General features: G+C 53.6%; 1 protein-coding gene across 4 annotated transcripts, besides 6 other annotated features; it reads left to right on the top strand.

Moving 5' to 3' along the window:
• Positions 7,890–7,989: a silencer, noted in NCBI's record as "silent region_10818". NCBI's record gives its function as "represses an Ori minimal core promoter by ATAC-STARR-seq in GM12878 lymphoblastoid cells {active_cell/tissue: GM12878}" and the evidence as "EXISTENCE:reporter gene assay evidence [ECO:0000049][PMID:35858748]".
• Positions 8,185–8,479: a silencer, noted in NCBI's record as "tiled region #2120; HepG2 Repressive DNase matched - State 4:PromP". NCBI's record gives its function as "represses a minimal TATA promoter and a strong SV40 promoter by Sharpr-MPRA in HepG2 cells {active_cell/tissue: HepG2}" and the evidence as "EXISTENCE:reporter gene assay evidence [ECO:0000049][PMID:27701403]".
• Positions 8,220–8,359: a silencer, noted in NCBI's record as "silent region_10817". NCBI's record gives its function as "represses an Ori minimal core promoter by ATAC-STARR-seq in GM12878 lymphoblastoid cells {active_cell/tissue: GM12878}" and the evidence as "EXISTENCE:reporter gene assay evidence [ECO:0000049][PMID:35858748]".
• Positions 8,225–13,598, top strand: GNG8 (G protein subunit gamma 8). Of its 4 annotated transcripts, none has more exons than XM_017027505.1 (3): positions 8,225–8,274; positions 12,826–12,952; positions 13,347–13,598. In XM_017027505.1, the coding sequence occupies exons 2-3, from the start codon at positions 12,869–12,871 to the stop codon at positions 13,473–13,475; spliced, it is 213 nt and encodes a 70-aa protein (XP_016882994.1). In that variant the 5' UTR covers positions 8,225–8,274; positions 12,826–12,868; the 3' UTR covers positions 13,476–13,598. The 4 variants fall into 4 exon arrangements, with proteins under 4 accessions (XP_016882994.1, XP_016882993.1, NP_150283.1 ...); XM_017027504.3 differs by lacking the exon at positions 8,225–8,274 and adding an exon at positions 8,398–11,070; NM_033258.2 differs by lacking the exon at positions 8,225–8,274 and adding an exon at positions 11,349–11,404.
• Positions 8,700–8,779: a silencer, noted in NCBI's record as "silent region_10816". NCBI's record gives its function as "represses an Ori minimal core promoter by ATAC-STARR-seq in GM12878 lymphoblastoid cells {active_cell/tissue: GM12878}" and the evidence as "EXISTENCE:reporter gene assay evidence [ECO:0000049][PMID:35858748]".
• Positions 13,031–13,340: a silencer, noted in NCBI's record as "silent region_10815". NCBI's record gives its function as "represses an Ori minimal core promoter by ATAC-STARR-seq in GM12878 lymphoblastoid cells {active_cell/tissue: GM12878}" and the evidence as "EXISTENCE:reporter gene assay evidence [ECO:0000049][PMID:35858748]".
• Positions 21,747–22,247: an enhancer, noted in NCBI's record as "H3K4me1 hESC enhancer chr19:47128561-47129061 (GRCh37/hg19 assembly coordinates)". NCBI's record gives its function as "activates a minimal SCP1, AML or CMV promoter by ChIP-STARR-seq in naive H9 embryonic stem cells {active_cell/tissue: H9 hESC(naive)}" and the evidence as "EXISTENCE:reporter gene assay evidence [ECO:0000049][PMID:30033119]".

Here is a 22,257-nt window from a genome sequence, read left to right as displayed (position 1 = left end):
TTTATTGAGCAACTTCTGTTTGCTGTGGATATGGCAGTTTCCAGGGAGGTCCCAGGGTGAATCTCAACATCATCTTCCTACCATTGGCTATTTTACATCAAGGAATCTAACCTTTGATTGGGTTATGTTTGGTTATAAATACGATTTCAGGCGGGATGTGATGGCTCATGCCTATAATCCCAGCACTTTGGGAGGCAGGGGTAGGGGGATATCTTGAGCCCAGGAGTTCAAGACCAGCTTGGGCAACATGGTAAAACCCCATCTCTACAGAAAATACAAAAATTAGCTGGGTGTGGTAGGTCATTCCTGAACTATCAGCTGCTCAGGAGGCTGAGGTGGGAGAATCATGTGAGTCTGGGAGGCCCAGGCTGCAGTGAGCCATGATTGTGTCACTGCACGCCAGCGTGGATGACAAGCAAGACCCTGTCTCAAAAAACAAAAAAATATGGTTTCACAAAAATGGGAACAGCATGGGAAACAGACAGCCCCTAAATCCCCTCTCTGACGGTCATCATAATCAGCAGTTCGATGTGCATCCTCCCATGTTTATGTGTTTGCATATATATATGAATCTAAATAACTATATAAATATATATGTATGAATATACATATAGTTATATATGTAATATATGTGTGAAATTATATATTTACATAAATTGAACTATATGTATGCAGTGTTTATCACTTCTTTGTGTGAAATCTCTGTGCCTGAAGATTTCTTTATGAGGAGGGTTTAAATTAAGGATTGAATTTCTTTGATAGTTATAGTACTATTTAGGTTTTCTATTTTTTCTTGTGTCAGTTTTGCTAGGCCCTATTCATCTAAGAATTTGTCCATTTCGTCTAAATCTACTTATTTTTTCTTTTGTTTTTTGAGATGGGGTCTTGCTCTATTACCCAGGGTGGAGAGCAGTGGTGTGATGATGACTCACTGTAGCATCAACCCTCAGGCTCAAACAGTCCTCCCACTTCAGCCTCCTGAGTAGCTGGGACCACAGGTCCACGTCACCCTGCCCAGCTATTTTTAAACTTTTTGTAGAGATGGGATCTCCTTATGTTGCCCAGGCTGGTCTTGAACTCGTAGGCTGAAGTGATCCTCCTGCCTTGGCCTCCCAAAGTGTTAGGATTACAGATGTGAGCCACCATGTCTGGCCCATTTCATCTAAATTTAGGTAACACATTTTCCTATCACTATATTATTATTGATAGGTGCATATAAGACTCCATTATGGCCAGGTGAGGTGGCTCACACCTGTAATCCCAGCACTCTGGGAGGCCAAGGCAGGTGAACCACCTGAGGTCAGGAGTTCGAGACCAGCCTGGCCAACATGGCAAAACCCTGTCTCTACTAAAAATACAAAAATTAACCAGGTGTGGTGGCGTGTGCCTATAGTCCCAGCTACTCGGGAGGCTGAGGCAGGAGAATCACTTGAACCTGGGAGGTGTAGGTTGTAGTGAGCCAAGATCACTGCACTGCACTCCAGCCTGGGTGACAGAGTGAGACTCCATCTCAAAAAAAAAAAAAAAAAAAAAAGAAGACTCCATTATGGGGATTCTCATAATCTAACCCTATTGTCAGCTCTCCAATTCTTTTGCTATTATGAATCTTGCTACAGTAATGTCCTTGTATTTGCCTCTTTGTGCATGTCTGTGTGTATTTTTATAGGACCCATTCCTAGAAATAGAGTTGCTTGGTCATTAATAGTATGCCAATTTAAGAACTTTTAATGGACACTGCCACACTTCCATCCATTAGCACTGCCCCCAGCTGACATTTCTAACAGCAGTTTTTCAGATGTCTGTTTTCTACCCCTTCACCAAACGATAGATGCTATTGATCATTTTCATTTTGCAAATCTTATGGGGAGAAACTGTGTTCTGTTTTAATTAGCACGTTTCCTCCCTTTTCCTTGAGGTAACACATAGTTTTGGGTGCTTATTGGCTCTTGCATTTCCTCTTATGTGAATTGCCTTTTTACTCTTTTCCTTCCTTCCTTCCTTCTTTCCTTCTTTCCTTCCTTCTTATTTTTTATTATTTTTTTTTGAGACAGGGTCTTGATCTGTCACCCAGCCTGGAGTGCAGTGGTATAGCTCACTGCAGCCTCGAACTCCTGGGCTTCAGCAATCCTCCCACCTCAACCCCCCTGAGCAGCCGGGACTAACAGGCATGCACCACAACGCCTGGCTAATTTTCCAATTTTTTGTAGAGATGAACTCTCACTATATTGCCCAGGCTGGCCTTGAATTCTTGACCTCAAGCAATCCTTGCACCTTGGCCACCAAAAGTGTTAGGATTTCAGGCGTGAACCACCGTGCTCGTCCTGTTTTTCTATTGGGTATGTAAAATTATACTCAGTTCTCAGGTGGGTAAATGGAGGCTTAGAGAAGAGCCATTACTTTCCCTGGTCACAAAGCAAGGGGGATCCAGGGCTAGGACCCAGCCCCCACCTGAATCCACAGTCAGAAGGATGGGGTGTGTGTTGCTGCTTTGACCTTTGAATCTGCATGGGTAGATCTACCTCCCTTTGAGCTCGGAAAGAGCAGGGACCAGGCCTGCTGTGTTCACTTGTATCTTCAGCGCCCAGCCAGGCACTGGGGTTAGAGCAGGGGACAAAACAGGAAAAAAAAACCCTGCCCTACGGAGCTTCTATGGTGGGGGTAGGGTGAGGGATAGACCTATGTTTCACTTAGAGTAATAATGAATAAAAGTTATTTTTAAAAGTTTTTCCAGGAAAAGCTATTGCTTGGCAGGTCCTTGGGAACAATTACTCCAACTTCATTCCATAAAAGGGGCAACTGAAGTCAGAAAGGAGAAGAGATTTGTTTGTCTAGGGCTACATAGGTCACTTAGTGGCCAAAATGGTTGAAGTAAATATGGATGGATATTTAAGGGTCTCCCTTTTAAGGTTTTAGTGCTTACAAAAAATAACAGCTAACACTTATTTGAGCACTTATGACGTGCTGGACTCTATTCTCACCACTTTACACATATTGACCCATTTAATCCTCTCCACCTGTATTAGTCTGTTTTCATGCTGCTGATAAAGATATAACCTGAGACTGGGTAATTTTTAAAGAAAAAGAGGTTTCATAGACTCACAGTTCCACGTGGCTGGGGGGGCCTCACAATCATGGCGGAAGGTGAAAGTCACGTCTCACCAGGTCAGGAGTTCGAGACCAGCCTGGCCAACACGGTGAAACCCTGTCTCCACTAATAATTAAAAAATTAGCCGGGCGTGGAGGCTGGGCGCAGTGGCTCACGCCTGTAATCCCAGCACTTTGGGAGGCCGAGGCGGGCGGATCACGAGGTCAGGAGATCGAGACCACCTGGCTAACACACTGAAACCCTGTCTCTACTAAAAATACAAAAATTAGCCGGGCGCGGTGGCGGGCGCCTGTAGTCCCAGCTACTCAGGAGACTGAGGCAGGAGAATGGTGTGAACCCAGGAGGCGGAGCTTGCAGTGAGCCGAGATCGCGCCACCGCACTCCAGCCTGGGCGACAGAGTGAGACTCCGTCTCAAAAAAAAAAAAAAAAAAAAAAAAGAATTAGCCAGGTGTGGTGGTGGGCGCCTGTAATCCCAGCTACTTGGGAGGCTGAGGCAGGAGAATCACTTGAACTTGGGAGGCAGAGGTTGTAAGGTTGTAGTGAGCCAAGATCACACCACTGAACTCCAGCCTGGGTGACAGAGTGAGACTCCATCTCAAAAACAAACAAACAAACAAACAAACAAAAATGTATCTGAAGCTCATAGGTGGCAAAGCCAGGATTCAAATTCAGGCACACTATTTTCAGAGTTCATGGCCTTAGTCAGTGCCCTACATGGTCTATTTGCTGGAACCATGATCTTAAAAAGGATATACCAGGAATGGGTCCCAGGGAGGGAAGCTGGGGGTGGTGGTGGTGGTACCATAATAAATATATTCTATAGTTTGTTAAAGGTGATGACTATAGGGAAAAACTGACCAGAGATATGAGGGGATTGGGTGGGGTGGTGAAGCGGGGAGTTTGTAATTTTACTTATTATTTTTTGAGATAGGGTCTCACTTTGTCACCCAGGCTGGAGTGCAGTGGCATAACCATGGCTCACTACAACCTTGACCTCCTGGGCTAAAGGGATCCTTCTGCTTCAGTCTCCCAAGCAGCTTGGCACACACCACCATGCATGGCTAATTTTTATTTTTTTTGGCAGAGGCAGGGTCTCACCATGTTGCCCAGGCTGGTCTCCAACTCCTAGTCTCAAGTGATCCTCCTGCCTAAGCCTCCCGAAGTGTTGGGATTACAAGCATAAGCCAGTGTGCCTGGCCAAGGGAGTGTGTAATTTTAAGTAGAGTGATCAAGAATGGTCTAATTGAGAAGATGGTGGCTCATGCCTGTAATCCCACCACTTTGGGAGGCCGAGGCAGGTGGATCACCTGAGGTCAGGAGTTTGAGACCACCCTGGCCAACATGGTGAAACCTCGTCTCTACTAAAAATACAAAAGTTAGCCAGGCGTGGTGGCATGTGCCTGTTGTCCCAGCTACTCGGGAGGCTGAGGCAGGAAAATCGCTTGTACCCGGGATGCAGAGGTTGCAGTGAGCCGAGATCGCGCCATTGCACTCCAGCCTGGGTGACAGAGCAAGACTCCGTCTAAAAAAAAAAGAATGGTCTAATTGAGAAGATGACATTTGAACAGAGACCTGAAGGAGGTGGAGGAGTGAGACTTATGAATATCTTGGGGAAGAATATCCTGGGCAGAGGAAATAGCCAGTGCAAAGGCCCTGAGGCAAAACTCTGCCTGGCATGTTGGCAAAACAGCAAGGAGGCCAGCTGGAGTGGGGAGGTGAGAGGGAGAAGAGGTAAGGACTGTCACATCATGGGGGCCTCGTGGGCTATGGTGGGGATTTTGGTTTTTATTTCCTGGCACCCATGGGAGAATTCTGAGCATATAAAAGAGAGTTTTTAAAGTTTTTTTTTTGGTGGGGGGGAGGGTTAATAGCTGTACTGAGATATATTCACCTACCAAAAAATTTACCCACGTAAAGTATACAGTTCAATGTTTTTAAATATATTGAATATAAAAGACATTCAGTATTTTAGTGGCCAGGCGTGGTGGCTCATGCCTGTAATCCCAGCACTTTAGGAGGCTGAGGTGGGCAGATCACTTGAGATCAGGAGTTCAAGAGCAGCCTGGGCAACATGGTGAAACCCCATCTGTACTAAAAATACAAAAATTAGCTAAGCATGGTGGTGCACGCCTGTAATCCCAGCTACTTGGGAGGCTGAGGCAGGAGAATCTCTTGAACTTGGGAGGCGGAGCTTGCAGTGAGCCGAGATCACGCCACTGAACTTCAGCCTGGGCAACAGAGCAAGACTCAGTCTCAAAAAAAAAGAAAAAACCAGTATTTTAGTATATTCAGAGTTGTGCAAATATCACCACAATGAATTCTAAAACATTTCCATCACCACCTAAAGAAACCCTGCACCACAGCTGCCATCCTCCAACCTTCCCAGCCCCTGGCAACCAGTAATCTACTTTTGCCTTCTATAGATTTGCTAGTTCTGGACATATCATATAAATGGAATCATACAATACAGGCCTTTAGTGACTGGCTTCTTTCACTTAGCCCAGGTTGGAGAGTAGTGGTGCAATCACGGCTCCCTGCAGCCTCTACCTCCTGGGTTCAGGTGATCCTCCCACCTCAGCCTCCTGGGAAGCTGAGACTGCAGGTACATGCCACCGTGCCTGGCTGATTTTTTAATGTTTTTTTGTAGAGACAGGGTCTTGCCATGTTATTCAGGCTGGTCTTGAACTTCTGGGCTCAAGCAACTTGCCTGCCTCGGCCTCCCAAAGTGCCGGGGTTACAGGCGTGAGCCACCGCACCCAGCCAGCATACTGTTTTCAACTTTCATCCATGTTGTAGCAGGTATTAGTACTTCATTTCCTTTTATTGACAAATAATTGATAGTCCATTGTCTGGATAGACCACATTTCATTTGTCCATTCATCAGTTGATGAACGTGTGTTGTTTCCACTTTGGGCTATTATGAATATTGCCTCTGTGAACATTTTTATATACGTGTTTGTATGTTTTTATTGCTCTTGGATATACACCTAGGAGTGGAATTGCTGGGTCATACGTTAACTCTATGTTTAACCTTTTGAGGAACTGCCAGGGTTTTTTTTGTTTTTTTTTTTTGAGATAGAGTCTCACTCTGTCACCCAGGCTGGAGTGCAGTCGTGCGATCTTGGCTCACTGCAACCTTCACCTGCCAGGTTCAAGCGATTCTCCTGCCTCAGCCTCCCAAGTAGCTGGGATTACAGGCGTGCACCACCATGCTCAGCTAATTTTTGTATTTTTAGTACAGATGGGGTTTCACCATGTTGCCCAGGCTGCTCTTGAACTCCTGACCTCAAGTGATCTGCCCGCCTCAGCCTCCCAAAGTGCTGGGATTACAGGCATGAGCCTCCACGCCCGGCCTGCCAGGTTGTTTCCTAAAGCGACTTCACCATTTTACATCCCCACCAGCTTATGAGGGTTCAGGTTGCTCCACATACTCACTTGCTATTATATGGGGACAGTTTGAAACAGTGTCCTTTTGGCTGCTCTGTGGGAAACAGGCTGAGGGGGACAGGGAGAAGATAGGAGGTCAATGCAGAGGTCACTGTAATAGTCCAAGCAGGAGGGAACGGTGTCTGGACCCAAGTGGGGACAGCAGAGGAAGTGAGAGGGATTGGATTCTGGAATTGCTTTGAAGATAAAGCCAACAGGATGTCTTACTTGGTGACTTGTGGAGTGTGAGAGAAGGCGGGGAGTCAAGGATGACCCCAGCCCAGGTGTGGTGGCTCACAGTTCAGGACCAGCCTAAGCAACATAGCCAGACCCTGCCTCTAAAAAAAAATAAAAAGTTAGGCTGGTTACAGTGGCTCACGCCTGTAATCCCAGCACTTTGGGAGGCTGAGGCAGGTGGATCACTTGAGGCCAAAGTTTGAGACCAGCCTGGCCATCATGGTGAAATCCCATCTCTACTAAAAATACAAAAAAAGTAGCCGGATTTGGTGGCACATGCCTGTGATCCCAGCTACTCAGGAGGCTGAGGCATGAGAATTGCTTGAGCTTGGGAGGCGGAGGTTGCAGCGCGCCGAGATTGTGCCACTGTACACCAGCATGAGTGACAGAGTGAGATTCTGTTAAAAAACAAAACAAAACCTGTTCATGGTTGTGCATGCCTGTAGTCCCAGTTACCGGGGAGGCTGAGGCAGGAGGATCACTTGAGCCCAGGAGTTCAGGCTGCAGTGAGCTATGATTGCACCACTGCACTCCAGCCTGGGCGACAGGCAAGACCCTGTTTCAAAACAACAACAAAAACTCAGAGATTTACCATCACTTGAGATGGGTAAACCTGAAATAAGAGCGAATTTTGGTCGATGGAATCAGCTCAGTATTGGATGCGTTGAGCTCGAGAGACCCACTAAACACCCAGGCGGCTGGGTATTTGATCCTGGAATTCACTCTTGCCGTTTGTTGATGATTTCTTGAATAATTAACGTCAGAACGGAATCCGAATCCAGGGCCTCAGTTTCCTCTTCCAAAAAATGGGGACTGTAATGCCTTCAAGCGCTAGGCTGTCATGAGGCTGGGGCACAGGACAGGAACTGAGGTCATCTGCTGCGGTCTGCAGCTCAGGAGAGGAACGGAGGCTGCGCTCACGGCAGGCAGTGTCTGTCTGTCCGTCTCCCCCATCCCCCAGCTTCTGGCCGCGGTGGAGGAGCGGGAGGGAAGACTGGATCGTCACCCTGTCTTCCCCCTCTCTGAGCTGGTTTCCTCCTCGGGGGCTGCCCAGGCCAGACTGCTGATAGAAACCAGCTGCGAGAGGCGCGGAGGCTCGGCACACGCCCAGGCCCCTCCTCGGCGCCGGCGGACCCCGATGGCGGGGCGAGGAGCGCCTTGGCTCCCCTCCCCTCTTCCGCAGCCGGGCCTGGGGCCCTGGCACGTCCGGCGCGCCTGATGCTTTCCAGATGTGGGCTTGGTTTCCCTCCTTTATCTGGCCCCGTTGAGCCCGCAAGGGGAGGGGGGAGGGGAGCTAGGGTCCGAGACCCAAATCTCCACCAGGGACTCGGGTCGGGGTCCCCTCCCCGCCCGTCTCCCTTCCCTGTCCAGGCGGTGAAAACCGAGTTAGGGTGGGCCGACTGCAGTAAAGATGCTCCTCCCCACCTCCACCTCTTCCTAGGGCTCCCGCCTTCTCCAGGTCCAGAAAGAACCCCAAGCCCCGTCCATCGGGACACGCCCCCAGGTACACCGAGGGGCACGCCCCCTTAGAAACCCCGCCCCGGACCCCTCCCCTTCGGTCGCGCCTCTGCAGGCCCCGCCTCCGTCGTCGGGTCCCCACTGGAAGGCGCCCTCTGTGCATCTCTTTGTCTCTCTGGCCGCCTCTGCCTCCATCTCTGTGTGTCTGCGTCTTCGTCCCTGTCTCTGAGTTTCGGCTTGGGTGTCTCTCTCCTACCCCGGTCTCTCTGTGTCCTGTCTGTCTCTGCCTCTCCTGTCCCTCTCTCCGCAGCGCCCTCCCCGTCTCTGTCTCTCTGAGTCCCTAGCTCGCTCCTTCTCTAAATCTGTGTCCCTATAGCCCCCTGCGTCTCTCTGACTCTCCCTGCATCTCCCTCCCCTGTCTGTGAATTTCTCTGTGTCCATCTTCTGTCCTCTCCCTCCGGTCCCTGGCTCCCTGCCGTGCTTCCTCTGGTCCCGAGTCTCCCCTTCATCTCCCGCCTGGCCCTCCTCCCTGTGGCCACCTCCTCCCTGCGGCCTCTCGGGGCAGGGTGGGCGCCTGGGCGTGCTGCGCGCGCCCTCATGTGGCCGGCAGACGCTGCGTGTGAGCGCCAAAAGGGGAGTGCTGGGGAGCGGGGGACGCTGGTGTTCGCGGTGACACTGGGAAATGGCGTGTGACACCTGGAGGCTGTGTGAGTGTGTACTGCCGGGAGACGGCGTGAGACATCTGGAGAGTGTGTGAGTGTGTACTGCCGTGATGGTGTGTGACTCCAGGAGATCTGTGAGTGTGTACTGCTGTGAGATGGTGTACGACGCCAGGAAACTGTGTGAGTGTCGACTGCCGTGAGATGGTGTGCAGTGCCAGGACCAGGACACCATGAGTGTGTACTGCCATGATGGTGTACTGGTGAGATGGTGTGTGGTGCTGGGAGTCTGTGTGTGACTGATTGATATGAGATTATGTGCGACAAGGAGAGACTGAGTGGGACTGCATATGTCAGAGATGACATGTCGCTGACTGTGTGTGACACTGAGATTACTGGTGATGCTGAGAGATTGTGGGTGACTGTGTGTGCTGATGAAAGGTTATGTGTGATCGGGTGTGGGAGAGACACTCTTTGGGGCTCTGTATGGGACATTGAGAGACCGTATGTGGGAGTGAGAGACCGTGTGTGACGGTGCGTGTGAGGGGGCAGTGTGTGTGGCTGTGTGCAACATGGTGAGCATACGGTGCTGTGTGTGTCACACAAGTAGATTCTGTGTGAGAGAGAGTGAGACTGATGACTGATGTACACTGAGAGGTGGTGTGGGCAGGTGTCATGAGAGGCACATAGGGGGCCTGGGTGGGACAGACACAGTGAGTGTCAGTCTGTGTTGGCCACTCTGTGTATGGCTTGTGAAAAAGTGCGTGATCCGGGCACATTGCTGTAATCCCAGCACTTTGGGTGGCTGAGGCGGGAGGATCCCTTGAGGCCAGGAGTTTGAGATCAGCCTGGGCAACATAGGGAGACCCCTCCCCCCACCCCCGCCGTCTCTACCAAAATAAAAATAAAAGAAATTAACCAGGTGCGGTTATGTACCTCTGTGGTCCCAGCTACTGGGAGGCTGAGGTTGGAGGATCGCTTGAGCCTGGGAAGTGGAGGCTGCAGTGAGCTAAGATCGCGCCACTGCACTCCAGCCTGGGTGACAGAGAGAGAGACCTTGTCTCAAAAAACAAAACAAAACTGCGTGACTATGTGTGACACTGAGCTGGTGAGAGATGGCAGCGTTGTGACAGTGCATGCGAGAGTTTGCGGCTGTGCAGGGCACTCGGAAGCGAGAGCGTGAGGGAGGCCTTGTGTGTAGAAGGCAAGAGATGATGGAGAGGTGGGAGTGAGTGTGTGAAACGCTGCGAGCTTGTGTGGGACTCTGTGAGACACTGAGCCATCGTGGGTAGCTAGGTATGACACCAGGAGATGGGTTGCGTGCGTGTGTGTGACAGGGACAGACTGTGTATGGAGGGAATGTGTCAGATGCGTGTGACACCAGGAGACTGTGAGAGAATGTATGTGACCTTCCATGGTTGTCACTGGACAGGCGACTGGGTGTTACTATGAAATACTATAAAACAGTGTGTACTTGACAGGTTGTATTGGGTAATTGCATGCCACCGTGAGACACAGAAAGTGTGAGACTGGGACAGGGTGTGAGATTGAGAGAGTTTAAATGGCATGCAAGGCCAGGCGCGGTGGCTCACGCCTGTAATCCCAGCACTTTGGGAGGCCGAGGCGGGTGGATGACCTGAGGTCAGGAGTTCAAGACCAGCCTGGCCAACATTGTGAGACCCTGTCTCTACGAAAAATACAAAAATCAGACGGGCGTGGTGTCAGGCACCTGTAATCCCAGCTACTCAGGAGGCTGAGGCAGGAGAATGGCTTGAACCCAGGAGGCGGAGGTTGCAGTGAGCTGAGATTGGGCCACTGCACTCCAGCCTGGGCAACACAGCGAGACTTCATCTCAAAAAAAAAAAAAAAAAAAGGCATGCAAATGTGTGTGACATTTGGAGACATTATGTGTGACACTGTGGTACATTTGGTGCTCTGAGATAATTTATCTGACTGTGTAGCGCTTGGAGCTGCCATTGGTGGCGGCTGTGTGTGGCATTTGGGGCAACCGTGTGAGGTTGTGTTGAGCAAGGTCATTCGTGAGGTTGTGTGGTGCTACCGTGTGACAGGGCAAGATAGTTTTTGTCTGTGTGAGGGACAGTGAGCATGAGGCTGGAGGGGGGTGGTGACACCGAGGTGGCGAGTGTGGCTGAGTGAGCGGCTCTGTGGGACACACTGGAGAGGTTTGTTGTGACTGTGGATTAAATGTAGCGAGGCCCGGGGCCCACCTAGAGAGACTGTGTTTTCTAGTGAGTGTGAGAGAGGCACAGAGAGAGTCACACAATAGGACAGCAGCGGCAGAGACACAGGGAGAGGGACAAAGATAGGACTGACAGACAAGAGAGAGGGCCCAGAGAGGGAGCCCCAAGGTGGCGGGGCGGCGGGGACGGTGGCTCCGGGAGGAGGCGGGTCCGTAGGGGCTGCGCCCCAGGGGAGGGGGCGGGGCGGGCCGGAGGGACCCAGACGCTGCCTCCCAGCCTCTGTCACCGCCGCGAGCCCGGCCCAGAGCAGCAACAGGTAGGAAGCTCCGGTCCCGGCCCCACAGCTGGTCCCTTTGCCTGCTCCGTGGCCACCGTCTCTCCGCCTGGGAATGAATGAGTGAATGAGTGAATGAGTGAGTGAATGAATTCTTCTGCGTCTCCATCAGCCTGTCTCTCGCCTTGTTCCTCTCTCCCACTTTCTGTTTCCATCTCTCCCCAACCCCTCCATCTCCCTCTTTGTCCTTCCCTTCTTTCCTCTGTCCCTCTATCTCCCCGTCTCTGTTCCTTTATCTCCTTGGTGTCTCTGCTCCTTCCTCCCTCCCCCCTTCCTCCATTTCCCCTTCTCTCTCCTTCGTCCCTCCCTCCATCACCCCATCCTCTCCCACCCCATCCGTCCATCTCCTCCATCCTCTCCCACCCCACACCCCCTCCCTCCATCTCCTCCATCCTCTCCCACCCCACACCCCCTCCCTCCATCTCCCCATCCTCTCCCACCCCACACCCCCTCCCTCCATCTCCCCATCCTCTCCCACCCCACACCCCCTCCCTCCATCTCCCCATCCTCTCCCACCCCATCCGTCCATCTCCTCCATCCTCTCCCACCCCACACCCCCTCCCTCCATCTCCCCATCCTCTCCCACCCCACACCCCCTCCCTCCATCTCCCCTGCTCTGTCCCCTCTGTCCCTTTGTCCCCTCGGTGCCTGTCGCCTTGTATCACCCTGTTCCTTGCTCCCCCCTTCATTTGTCCCTCTATTTTCTCCTCCATCACTTCATTCCTCCCCCAGTCTCTCCCTCTCTCTATTCCTCCCCGTCTCTTCATTTCTCCCGTGCCTCAGTCTCTCCCTCCATTACTCTGTCTCTGCCTCTGCGCGTCCCGTTGTCCCTCTGTCCATCCGATAGGCCTCTCCTCAGGTGCCCGAGTTGGGCTCCCCCAGCCCTCTGCCCTGGCTGCTAATGAGCAGAGGAGGCTTTGAGGTGACCAGGGCTAGGGTGGGGGGGCTCCCTGAGGGTGGCGGAGAGGGCAGCTGCTGCCAAGGCCCTAATGAGGCCCCCTCTGTGCCCCTCCCGCCGCGATCTTAATTCCCAGTTCTCCCTGGAGCCACTGCTAATTGGCCTGGGGGAGGGGCCCCCCTCCTGGCTCTCGCTCTGCCCCCGGGGGTGAGGACACCTGGATTCTGATCCAGCACCTGTGGCCCTGTCCTTCTGTCTCAGCCTCCCATCTGTGCGCCCCTCCTTCCCTCCCTCGCCCCTCCCTGCTCTCTCCCCACCTGCCTTAGCTACCTCCATCCGTGCACCCCTCCATCGCTCCTCTTGTTCCTGTCCCCTTCATCTGTCCCTCCCTCCACCAGCCCCTGGCCACCCCATTCACGCGCCCTTCCACCCTCGCACCTGTTACCGGGGCCCGCCCTCTCGCCCCCACCTCGGGACCCAGACGTATCCTAACCTACCCCCACAGCCCCCACTCCCGCGCGTCTTTTAACCCCTTCCCCGCCGCAACCATGTCCAACAACATGGCCAAGATTGCCGAGGCCCGCAAGACGGTGGAACAGCTGAAGCTGGAGGTGAACATCGACCGCATGAAGGTGCTGGGTCGGGGTGGGGAATAGGGCGGGGGTTCTGGGCCTGCGGTCTGTCCGGGGCTGTGTCGGCCCGGCTCGGAGCCATAGTGCAAGGATGCCCCTGGGAACAGGGCTGGGCAAGGGGCGGGGCAGGGCAGGAGGAGGGGCCAGGACGAGGGGAGGGGCAGAACAGGGGAGGGGCCAGGACGAGGGGAGGGATGGGGCAGGGGAGGGGCCAGGACGAGGGGCGGGGTAGGACAGGGGAGGGGCCAGGACGAGGGGGCGGAGTAAGACAAGGGGAAAGGCCTGTATGGGGCGGGGCAAGGTGGGAGGAGGGGACAGGGCAAGAGGCGGGGCCTAAGTGGGCGGCTCCAAGGAGCCGGGCAGGGCGGTGACATCTCCACCCGGGTGCTCGCAGGTGTCGCAGGCAGCAGCGGAACTCCTGGCTTTCTGCGAGACGCATGCCAAAGATGACCCGCTGGTGACGCCAGTACCCGCCGCGGAGAACCCCTTCCGCGACAAGCGCCTCTTTTGTGTTCTGCTCTGAGCCCTCCGGACAGCTTACCCTCCCCTGCCAAAGTATGGATCCAATAAACTTGGTAACTGTGGTGGTGCCTGTGCTTTCAGGGAGACTGAGGCACGCACAGAGCTTGGGGCCACCGTAGGGGAAGCTGTGTCCGTTCTCATTCCTTCTGAGTGTGTGTGTTGGGGGTAGGGGTGGACGTGGAGGGAGTACGACTCCACCAAAGCTTCGGAGGAGATGAGTATTCGGTGCTCTCTCCTCCACGGTCGATCCTGAACTTAATGGTCCCGACAGCCCCAGAAGACAGCTAACTACTTGTATGATACCCAAGAGGAAACTGAGCCAAAGGAAGTCCTTTATTCAGAGTCACAAAGCTAGGCGGTAACAGAGCGCTGACGGGGGTACTCCAGTGCTCCCTGAACCCCTCCGCCATCCTCTCTCCTCTCCTCCCCACTGGCTTGGACATTCTTAGGGTCCCCAGTCCCCATCCCACACTTCTCACCCCCTTAACGACTCCTGTTTTCACACCTGGTTCCCCTCTACCGCAGGCCCACTTCTGTCCTAAAGCCCTGCACTTTTTCCCTGCTCACTTGTTCATTCACTCATTCATTCTTCCAAACACTCCCTGAGTACCTACTCTCTGACCAGCGCTGGGCAATGCTAGGGACATGGCTGTGACCAAGACAGCCTTGGCTCTGCCCTGCCCTGCCCTCTTGGGGCTCAGAGTCCAGTAGGAGAGAAAGACCTGTCCCCAGATGGTAAAAACCCAGAGTGCGCAGTGCTGGGTGGGGGAGCGCAGAGATAACTCCTGACTCAGCTTGGAGGTAAGGGAGGGCTTCCTGGAGGAGGTGACATCTGAGCTGGAACATGGTGGTAATAAAATTTGGGGACCCAGAAGAGAGAAACATGGCTAGAGGGAGGGAGAGGAAAGAAAATAATGAGTACATTCCTTCATTCTTCTTCTATTTTGTCATTTTTCTGGAGACAAAGGGATGACTGTGACAGCTCTGGTTCCTGCCCTCTGTTTTCCAATTCACATACTGCTGGCCTGCAGGACATACGTAGCTTGCAGATCTATCTATCTATCTATCTATCTATCTATCTATCTATCTATCTATCTATAGAGAGAGAGAGAGAGAAAGAGAGAGAGAGAGAGACGGAATCTCGCTCTGTCACCCAGGCTGGAGTGCAGCGGCAGGATCTTGGCTCACTGCAACCTCCGCCTCCCAGGTTCAAGGAATTCTCCTGCCTCAGCCCCCCAAGTAGCTGGGATTACAGGCATGCACCATCACGCCCAGCTAATTTTTGTATTTTTAGTAGAGGTGGGGTTTCACCATGTTGGCCAGGCTGGTCTTGAACTCCTGACCTCAAGTGATCCGCCTGCCTCGGCCTCCCAAGTGCTGGGATTACAAGCGTGACCCACCCGCCTGGCCGCAGTTATATTTTTATGGCTTTACATGATGTTTAAAGATGTTCTTGACTTGGCTGCCAATTGAAAAACACAGATATTTCACATCAAAGTCCATATTCCTCTGGAATTGCAAAGTCTTCTTTGAAATTGTAAGGTCTGGTGACGCATAGGCTGTGAGACGGTGCCTGGGCTTTCCAGCTCACCAAAGTCCCCACCATGCCCTATTGTCTTCTGGTCAAGGAAGCTGGGGACCAGTTGCCATTTAACCTGAAGCCTGTGTCGGGGGCTTCTTATGGAGGAATGAGAAATAAAATGGCTGGGCGTGGTGGGTCACGCCTATAAATCCAGCACTTTGAGAAGCCGAGGTGGGCAAATCACTTGAGGTCAGGAGTTCAAGATTAGCCTGGCCAACATGGTGAAACCCCGCCTCTACTAAGAAGACAAAAATTAGCTGGGCATGGTGGCATGAACGTGTAATCCCAGCTACTCAGGAGGCTGAGGTAGGAGAATCGCTTGAACCTGGGAGGTGGAGGTTGCAGTGAGACAAGACCACGCCACTGCACTCCAGCCTGGGCAATAGAGTGAGACTCTATTTCAAAAGAAAAAAAAGCAAAGAAAAGAAAAGAAAAATGAAATGTTCTGTGTCTCCATTGAAAATGGGGAGAATGCAGGCCAGGGAAGCTGTAGGTTTGGCCAATTATTTTACCTGGTTGGCCCAAGGGCTGGAGGATCACCCCCTCTCCTCTCCCTCATCTCTTCTTATCTTGTCTAATACTCAGGCTCCCCAGCTTGGGGCTGGTGGAGGCTGGACCCTGGGTCTGGCTGGAGGTGGCTTGCTGGGCCTCCCCTCCACAGGGGGAATGTGCACAAGTCTGCTCCATTATTCACATTGGATTAGGGTCCCCCGGGCCCCTACTCTGAGTTTCCTGTAGGATCCAGGCAGGAGCGTCTGTAATTACATCTCCCTCCTGCTTCCCACCTCTGAGCTGGCTTGGCTCCGGCCTGGTTGCATCATGTCTGTGGGAGCCCCGGGGGAGACGGGGGACAGGGAGTGAGCCAGAGATGAGCTAGGGTGTGGAGGAGGAGCGGGGAGAGAAGCTGGGCAGGAAGGAGCTAGAAGGATTCCAGAATTCACAGATCCTGCATCCTTACAGCTCAGAACCTGAAATGCAAAGGAATCTAGGATCCCAGGACCTCTGAGGGCTGGAATTCCAGCATCTTTCAATCCTATGGGGCCAAGATCCTGGGGTCCTGCACCCTAGGATTCCAGAGTTCAGCATCTCAGAAGAAGTGTAAGGAGTTCCTGAGCCTAGGCTCTTGGGAGCTAGATCCTTCGAGCCCTGGAATCTCAGAGCTGCGTAGTGCAAACCCTTCCTCCTTCACATTCCTGGTCCTGGGGGACAGAAACTATGGAGATGTAAGCAGCTGAATGGGACCTGGGTTGGGGGAAGGGAGGGCTGGTGGGAGTGGGACACAGAGGGGACCAGAAGGAGGTGTCTTTCTGGAGGGGGAGGATGGGGAACTGAGGCTACGGGAAAGGAGAAGTCAGAAGTCACAATCCAGGAGGGACAGGGCAGGTCCCTGCGTGCCCAGCCTCCATGAGAACAGATCCGAATAATCTTATTAAATTTACTGCCTTGTAGCAGCACCAGCTTCTGGTCACCAGCTGCTGCTTCCTGCCACCCCCAGGGGTGAAGTCAGCTCTGGGGCCAGGCCCATGCTGGGGGTCAGAGACAGGCCAAGAGGTAGAGGTGCATGCAGGGCGAGGTGCTTGTTCCTCCAGACCCCAAGGGCTCTCAGCTGCCCTGTTTCAGGCTGTCTTCCCTCTGCACCCACATCGCACGCTGCACCCCAACCCAGGCGCTCAGAGCAGCGCTTGGCTTGGCCGAAGGAGTACAGCGGGGGAGGGAAAGCCTAGAGCCAGCAGGAGCTGCAATCTTGGCCATCGCTTCCTAGGGGAACAGTTCAACAGTCCCATCTTGCTCAATGCTCACGATAGCCCTCAAGGTGACTCTGTTTATCCCCATTTTACAGACAAGGAAAACAGGCATGGGGCCGGGCGCAGTAGCTCATGCCTGTAATCCCAGCACTTTGGAAGGCCAAGGCAGGCGGATCATTTGAGGTCAGGAGTTCAAGACAGCCTGGCCAACATGGTGAAACCCCGTCTCTACTAAAAATACAAAAATTAGCTGAGCATGGTGGCGTGTACCTGTAATCCCAGCTACTCGGGAGGCTGAGGCACGAGAATCGCTTGAACCCAGGAGGCAGAGGTTGCAGTGAGCCGAGATCGCACCAGTGCACTCCAGCCTGAGGACAGAGCAAGACTCCATCTCAAAAAAAAAAAAAAAAAAAAAAAAAAGAGAGAGAGAGAGAGAGAAACAGGCATGGAGAGGTAACCAGCTGGGGTTTGAGACTGGAATGGGAGTGGGAGGATCTGATGGACGACCGCTCAGGAGAGGCTCAGGGGGTGACCAAGAGGCCTTGAAGGCTAGGAAATGAGGGGATCCCCAGGTGAGGGGCACGGCCCATTCAGAGGCAGGGTAGGCAGGAGACTGGGTTATGCCCCCTGGAGCAAGGTGAGGTGCAGCCACCAGAAGGTAGGCCAGGGCCCATTTGCGGTGGAGGGCAGTGAGTGGATAGAGAAAGGAGGCCTCTGGCTCTGGATGCTGGAACCAGCCAAGGCGAGACAGGTCTGGGACACACATAGCAGTTTCTCAAAGCAGTGAGAGGGCACAGCAGGCAGACGGGAGGCCTGGCAGGCACGAGCAGCTGGTGGTGCGTGTGTGCAGAACATGAGATAAGGCCCACTTCCTCCCAGGGCCAGAGCCAGGAGGACGGAAACCAGGGAGTCCGGAGAGGGTCAGGCCCAGGGCAAGCCAGGATCTTAGGTCTGCGGCACTTCCAGATGCAGGCCTGGGCTGGGCGTGATGGGTCAAGCCTGTAATCCCAGCACTTTGTGAGGCCAAGTTGGGCGGATCACTTGAGGTCATGAGTTCGAGACCAGCCTGGCCAACATGGCGAAATCCCGCCTCTACTAAAAATACAAAAATTAGTCAGGCATGGTGGCGGGCACCTGAAGTCCCAGCTACTCAGGAGGCTGAGGCAGGAGCATCGCTTGAGCTCGGGAGGTGGAGGTTGCAGTGAGCTGAGATCTCGCCACTGCACTCCAGCCTGGGCGACAGAGCGAGATTCCATCTCAGAACAACAACAACAAAAAAAAACAGATGCAGGCACCCCTGCTCAGGATCCCCACACTGGGTGGACAAACCTGTTTGAGAACACTCTTCCTGGGCTGTGCCCTCTGAGCCCCTCTGTGTCCCCAGCTCTTAGCACACAGTAAACTGCTGGTTACGGTTTGTTGAATGAATAATATCAACAGCTATTTGAGGGCTTCCTGGGAGGCAGGCAGGGGGAACTGTCTCTTATCTTCACATAACACCCCAACAAGGTCAAGGCAGCCATTTGACGAAGAACATCAAAGCTTTGCTAGGGGAAGTCATTTTCTCAGGTCACATGGTGACTGACTGGTGAGTGGTGGAGATGAACTTCAAAACCCATCCTCAGCCAGGCGCGGTGGCTCACGCCTGTAATCTCAGCACTTTGGGAGGCCAAGGCAGGCAGATCACTTGAGGTCAGGAGTTCAAGACCAGCTTGGCCAACATGGCGAAATCCCATCTCTACTAAAAATACAAAAATTAGCTGAGCATGGTGGCTCGCACCTGTAGTCCCAGCAACTTGGGAGACTGAGGCAGGAGAATCGCTTGAACCTGGGAGGCAGAGGTTACAGTGAGCGGAGATGGCACCACTGCACTCCAGCCTGGGCAACAGAGTGAGACTCCATCTCAAACAAACAAACAAACAAACAAACAAAAAAACCAAAAACCATTCTCGGCCAGGTGCCATGGTTCATGCCAGTAATCCCAGTGCGTTGGGAGGCCAAGGTGGGAGGATCACTTGAGCCCATGAATTTGAGACCAGCCTGGACAACATAGTGGGATCCTATCTCTACAAAACAATAAAAGTATTAGCTGGGCATGGTGGTGAGCACTTGTGGTCCCAGCTATCTGGGAGGCTGAGGTGGGAAGATTGCTTAAGCCTGGGAGGTAGAGGTTGCAGTGAGCTGAGATCGTGCCACTGCACTCCAGCCTGGGTGACAGAGTGAAACCCTGTCTCAAAAAAACTAGGTTGCGCACGGTGGCTCACACCTGTAATCCCAGAACTTTGGGAGGCTGAGGCCGGCGGATCACCTGAGATCAGGAGTTTGAGACCAGCCTGGCCAACATAGTGAAATCCCATCTGTACTAAAATACAAAAATTAGCTGGGCGTGGTGGCAGGTGCCTGTAATCCCAGCTACTCGGGAGGCTGAGGCAGGAGAATCACTTGAACCTGGGAGGTGGAGGTTGTGGTGAGCCGAGATGGCACCACTGCACTCCAGCCTGGGCAAAAGAGCAAGACTCCATCTCAAAAACAAAACAAAACTACAACATAGCTGTGTGCCCATGTGCACACAGAGTCCCACGAGCTCACAATACACATATACACACAATACACACGCAAACACAATCAATGCTGAGAAAAATGCTCACTTAGGTCACATGGGCCGCACTAACTCTACAGAGAGTCACAATCCGGTTACACACCCACAGTCCCCAGCACACTAGCCTCAATCTCTCTCCCCTCCCGGGTGCTGTGTGTGCGTCCCTAATCTCAGTGGTCTCTGAGCTGTCCTTCCTCTTTTTCCCTGCTGCTTCAGGGTCCCCCTCAGGGAGGCCTGGTCCTGTTCCTCGCCATGGGTGGAGAGAGTGTGAGATGGAGGCTACGGACCCACGCCCCCAGGGCAGTTCCTTCCATAGCTCCGCCCACCCTGGAAGCTGCCCCTGGCACAACGCACCGTGGGTGATTTCTCACCCCAAGGCACCTGGCTGGGGAGTGGAACCCCCGTGTGGACCCTGCTGTGGGCTTGGCCCGGCTAGCTGGGGCCACGGCCAAGCAGGAGGCTGGGTTTCAGGGCAAGGTGACTGAGGCATGTCTGGCGCCAGTACGGACTCTGGGGAACTCAGTCCCCTCATTAGGAGGGAGTCACAGTCACTGCCACCCCTACCTGCTCCTGATGCAGGAACACAGAACCGATCCTGGGGTTGCGAGGGCTCATGACTCCTAGTGGCATCGGCGGGGAAACTGAGGCCTGAGGCCAGGCGTGGTGGCCTATAATCCCAGCACTTTGGGAAGCCGAGGTAGGCAGATCACTTGAGTCCAGGAGTTTGAGACCAGCCTGGGTGACACAGTGAAACCCTGTCTTTACAAAAATACAAAAATTAGCTAGCGTGGCAGTGGGTGCCTGTAGTCCCAGCTACTCAGGAGGCTGAGGTGGGAGGATCGCTTGAACCCCAGAGGTAGAGGTTGCAGTGAACCGAGATTGCAGCACTACACTCCAGCCTGGGTGACAGAGCAAGACCCTGTCTCAAAAACAAACGAACAGCCAGGCAAGGTGGTTCACGCCTGTAATCCCAGCACTATGGGAGGCCGAGGCGGGCGGATCACCTGAGGTCAGGCGTTCAAGACCAGCCTGGCCAACATGGTGAAACCCCACCTCTACTAAAAATATAAAAATTGGGCGCAGTGGCACATGCCTGTAATCCCAGCTACTCGGGAGGCTGAGGCACGAGAGTCGCTTGAACCCGGGAGGCGGAGGTTGCAGTGAGCTGAGATCATGCCAGTGTACTCCAGCCTGGGTGACAGAGCAAGATTCCATCTCAAAACAAAAACAAACAAGCAAAAAGAAAAACAACAACAAAAAAGAAACTGAGGCCTGGAAGGGACAAGGGTTTGACTGTGGTCCCACTGGGCATGGGAGCAGAGGGGACTTCCTGAATGTTAACCGTCCTTGTAACAGGAAGCGAGAGAGGGAGTCTCCGGGAACCAGAGGCCCCCCCGATGCCGAAACAAGATGCACGCCTGCCAGGCATCATCCTTCATTAATATGATATAACTTCCTGAGTTCCCTCTGGTCTGTCTGGGGACCTCACGGCATGAGGCGGGACAACGTGGCAGGACCTGGAGCCCACATGTACAGGCACCCCCAGAGCAGGGCTGGGGGGTCCCTTAGGGAGCCACGGTGGGGCTGGAACTTGGGCGTCCATCCTGCTGGAAGCTGCGGGTGCCAGCTGGGCAAGGGTGATAGGGAGATGGGGGGGAGGGGCAAAGGGGTTGTGGTCACACACCGGGGTACAGAGGGCAAGACGGCAGCTGCCCACAGTCCAGTCCTTGGGTTGGACACATCCCTCCTGGCCTTGGACAAGAGACACCCGCACAGCCTCTCTCCTTGTTACAAAGACCAATCTGGGATGTGCTGCAGGCCGAGGCTGGCCACCAGGTCCCTGAGGCCCGTGTTACCCCACGCACAGAGAAGGAGGCTGAAGTCTACCAGCTCCCTCTCCTCACCTGGGACCATCTCGCAGCAAGAAAAAAGGTGGTCAGATGGAAACAGGAAGCCAAGTCGAATGGATCTGAGACCGTCCCCCTGAGAAACAGCGGGGCTCAGAGAGGGTCTCTGAGGTTTTATCTGGCCCTTTTGGGCTGGGAGGCTGCCTGGGAAGCCACCGACTCCGTGGGAAGGGAGACCCGTGAACGCTGTGCGGGTAGCGGGAACATGTGGGTCTGTCACACTGGCCCGAGGCTGCAGCGGTGGTGGCTTGGCTGTGTTTGGGGAGGGTGGGGGACACATGGCAGCAATGTTGGAGCTGTGGACAGCTTCCTGTGATCAAAATATGATTCCTGAAGGTCAAGGTCACCAGAGCTTGGCCTGGGGCCTAGGGGTGCTGTGCGAGAAGTCGGACGGTGGCCCAGTGCTACCTTTCCATCATGGGCCATGGAAGTCTCCCAAGCCTGTCCCTGACAACTGGACACCAAATACACCCCTTCATGCTTTCTTCTCGGGTCTCTGCAGGGTGAGCTGGGTGCCCAGGGACAGGCTCGAGGGACTGGCATGTCTCTCTCTGGCCAAGCCTCCTTCCTCAGCTTTCTGGAAGGAGTGAATTGTGTCCAGGGACCAGAACTCTCAGTGGTGTCTGGAAAACACTACATCAGAGAGGAATTTCCTGGTCATTTCTCAATCCCTGGGCAATGTCCTCAGCCCCGGGGCCTGGAGCCCAGAATAGATCCCAGAGGCCACCCTGAGACAGCCCAGGCCAAGACCACCCCACTGAAGCCTGGTCAACTGTGCTCTTCAGGTCCCTCCTAGAGGCCCCCTACTACCCCGGGAGGCTCCAAGCCTAAGTGATGGTGACTCAGGAATTCCCCACCCAGGCCAGAGAGGGAGACACTGGGGGAGGGAGGAGACCTGTGTGTGGGGAGGTGGCAGGTGGCTCAGTGATGGGAACCAAGAGAGGATGTGG

This window comes from Homo sapiens, chromosome 19 (assembly GCF_000001405.40).
Source record: "Homo sapiens chromosome 19, GRCh38.p14 Primary Assembly".
In the NCBI taxonomy this organism is placed as follows: domain Eukaryota; kingdom Metazoa; phylum Chordata; class Mammalia; order Primates; family Hominidae; genus Homo; species Homo sapiens.
This window is presented reverse-complemented; position numbering and strand designations above follow the sequence as displayed.

Coding starts and splice junctions, on each gene's coding strand:
- GNG8 (XM_017027505.1), top strand. CDS start 12,869: ATGTCCAACAACATGGCCAAGATTGCCGAGGCCCGCAAGACGGTGGAA. Junction 12,953..13,346: donor TGAACATCGACCGCATGAAG/GTGCTGGGTCGG, acceptor GGGTGCTCGCAG/GTGTCGCAGGCAGCAGCGGA.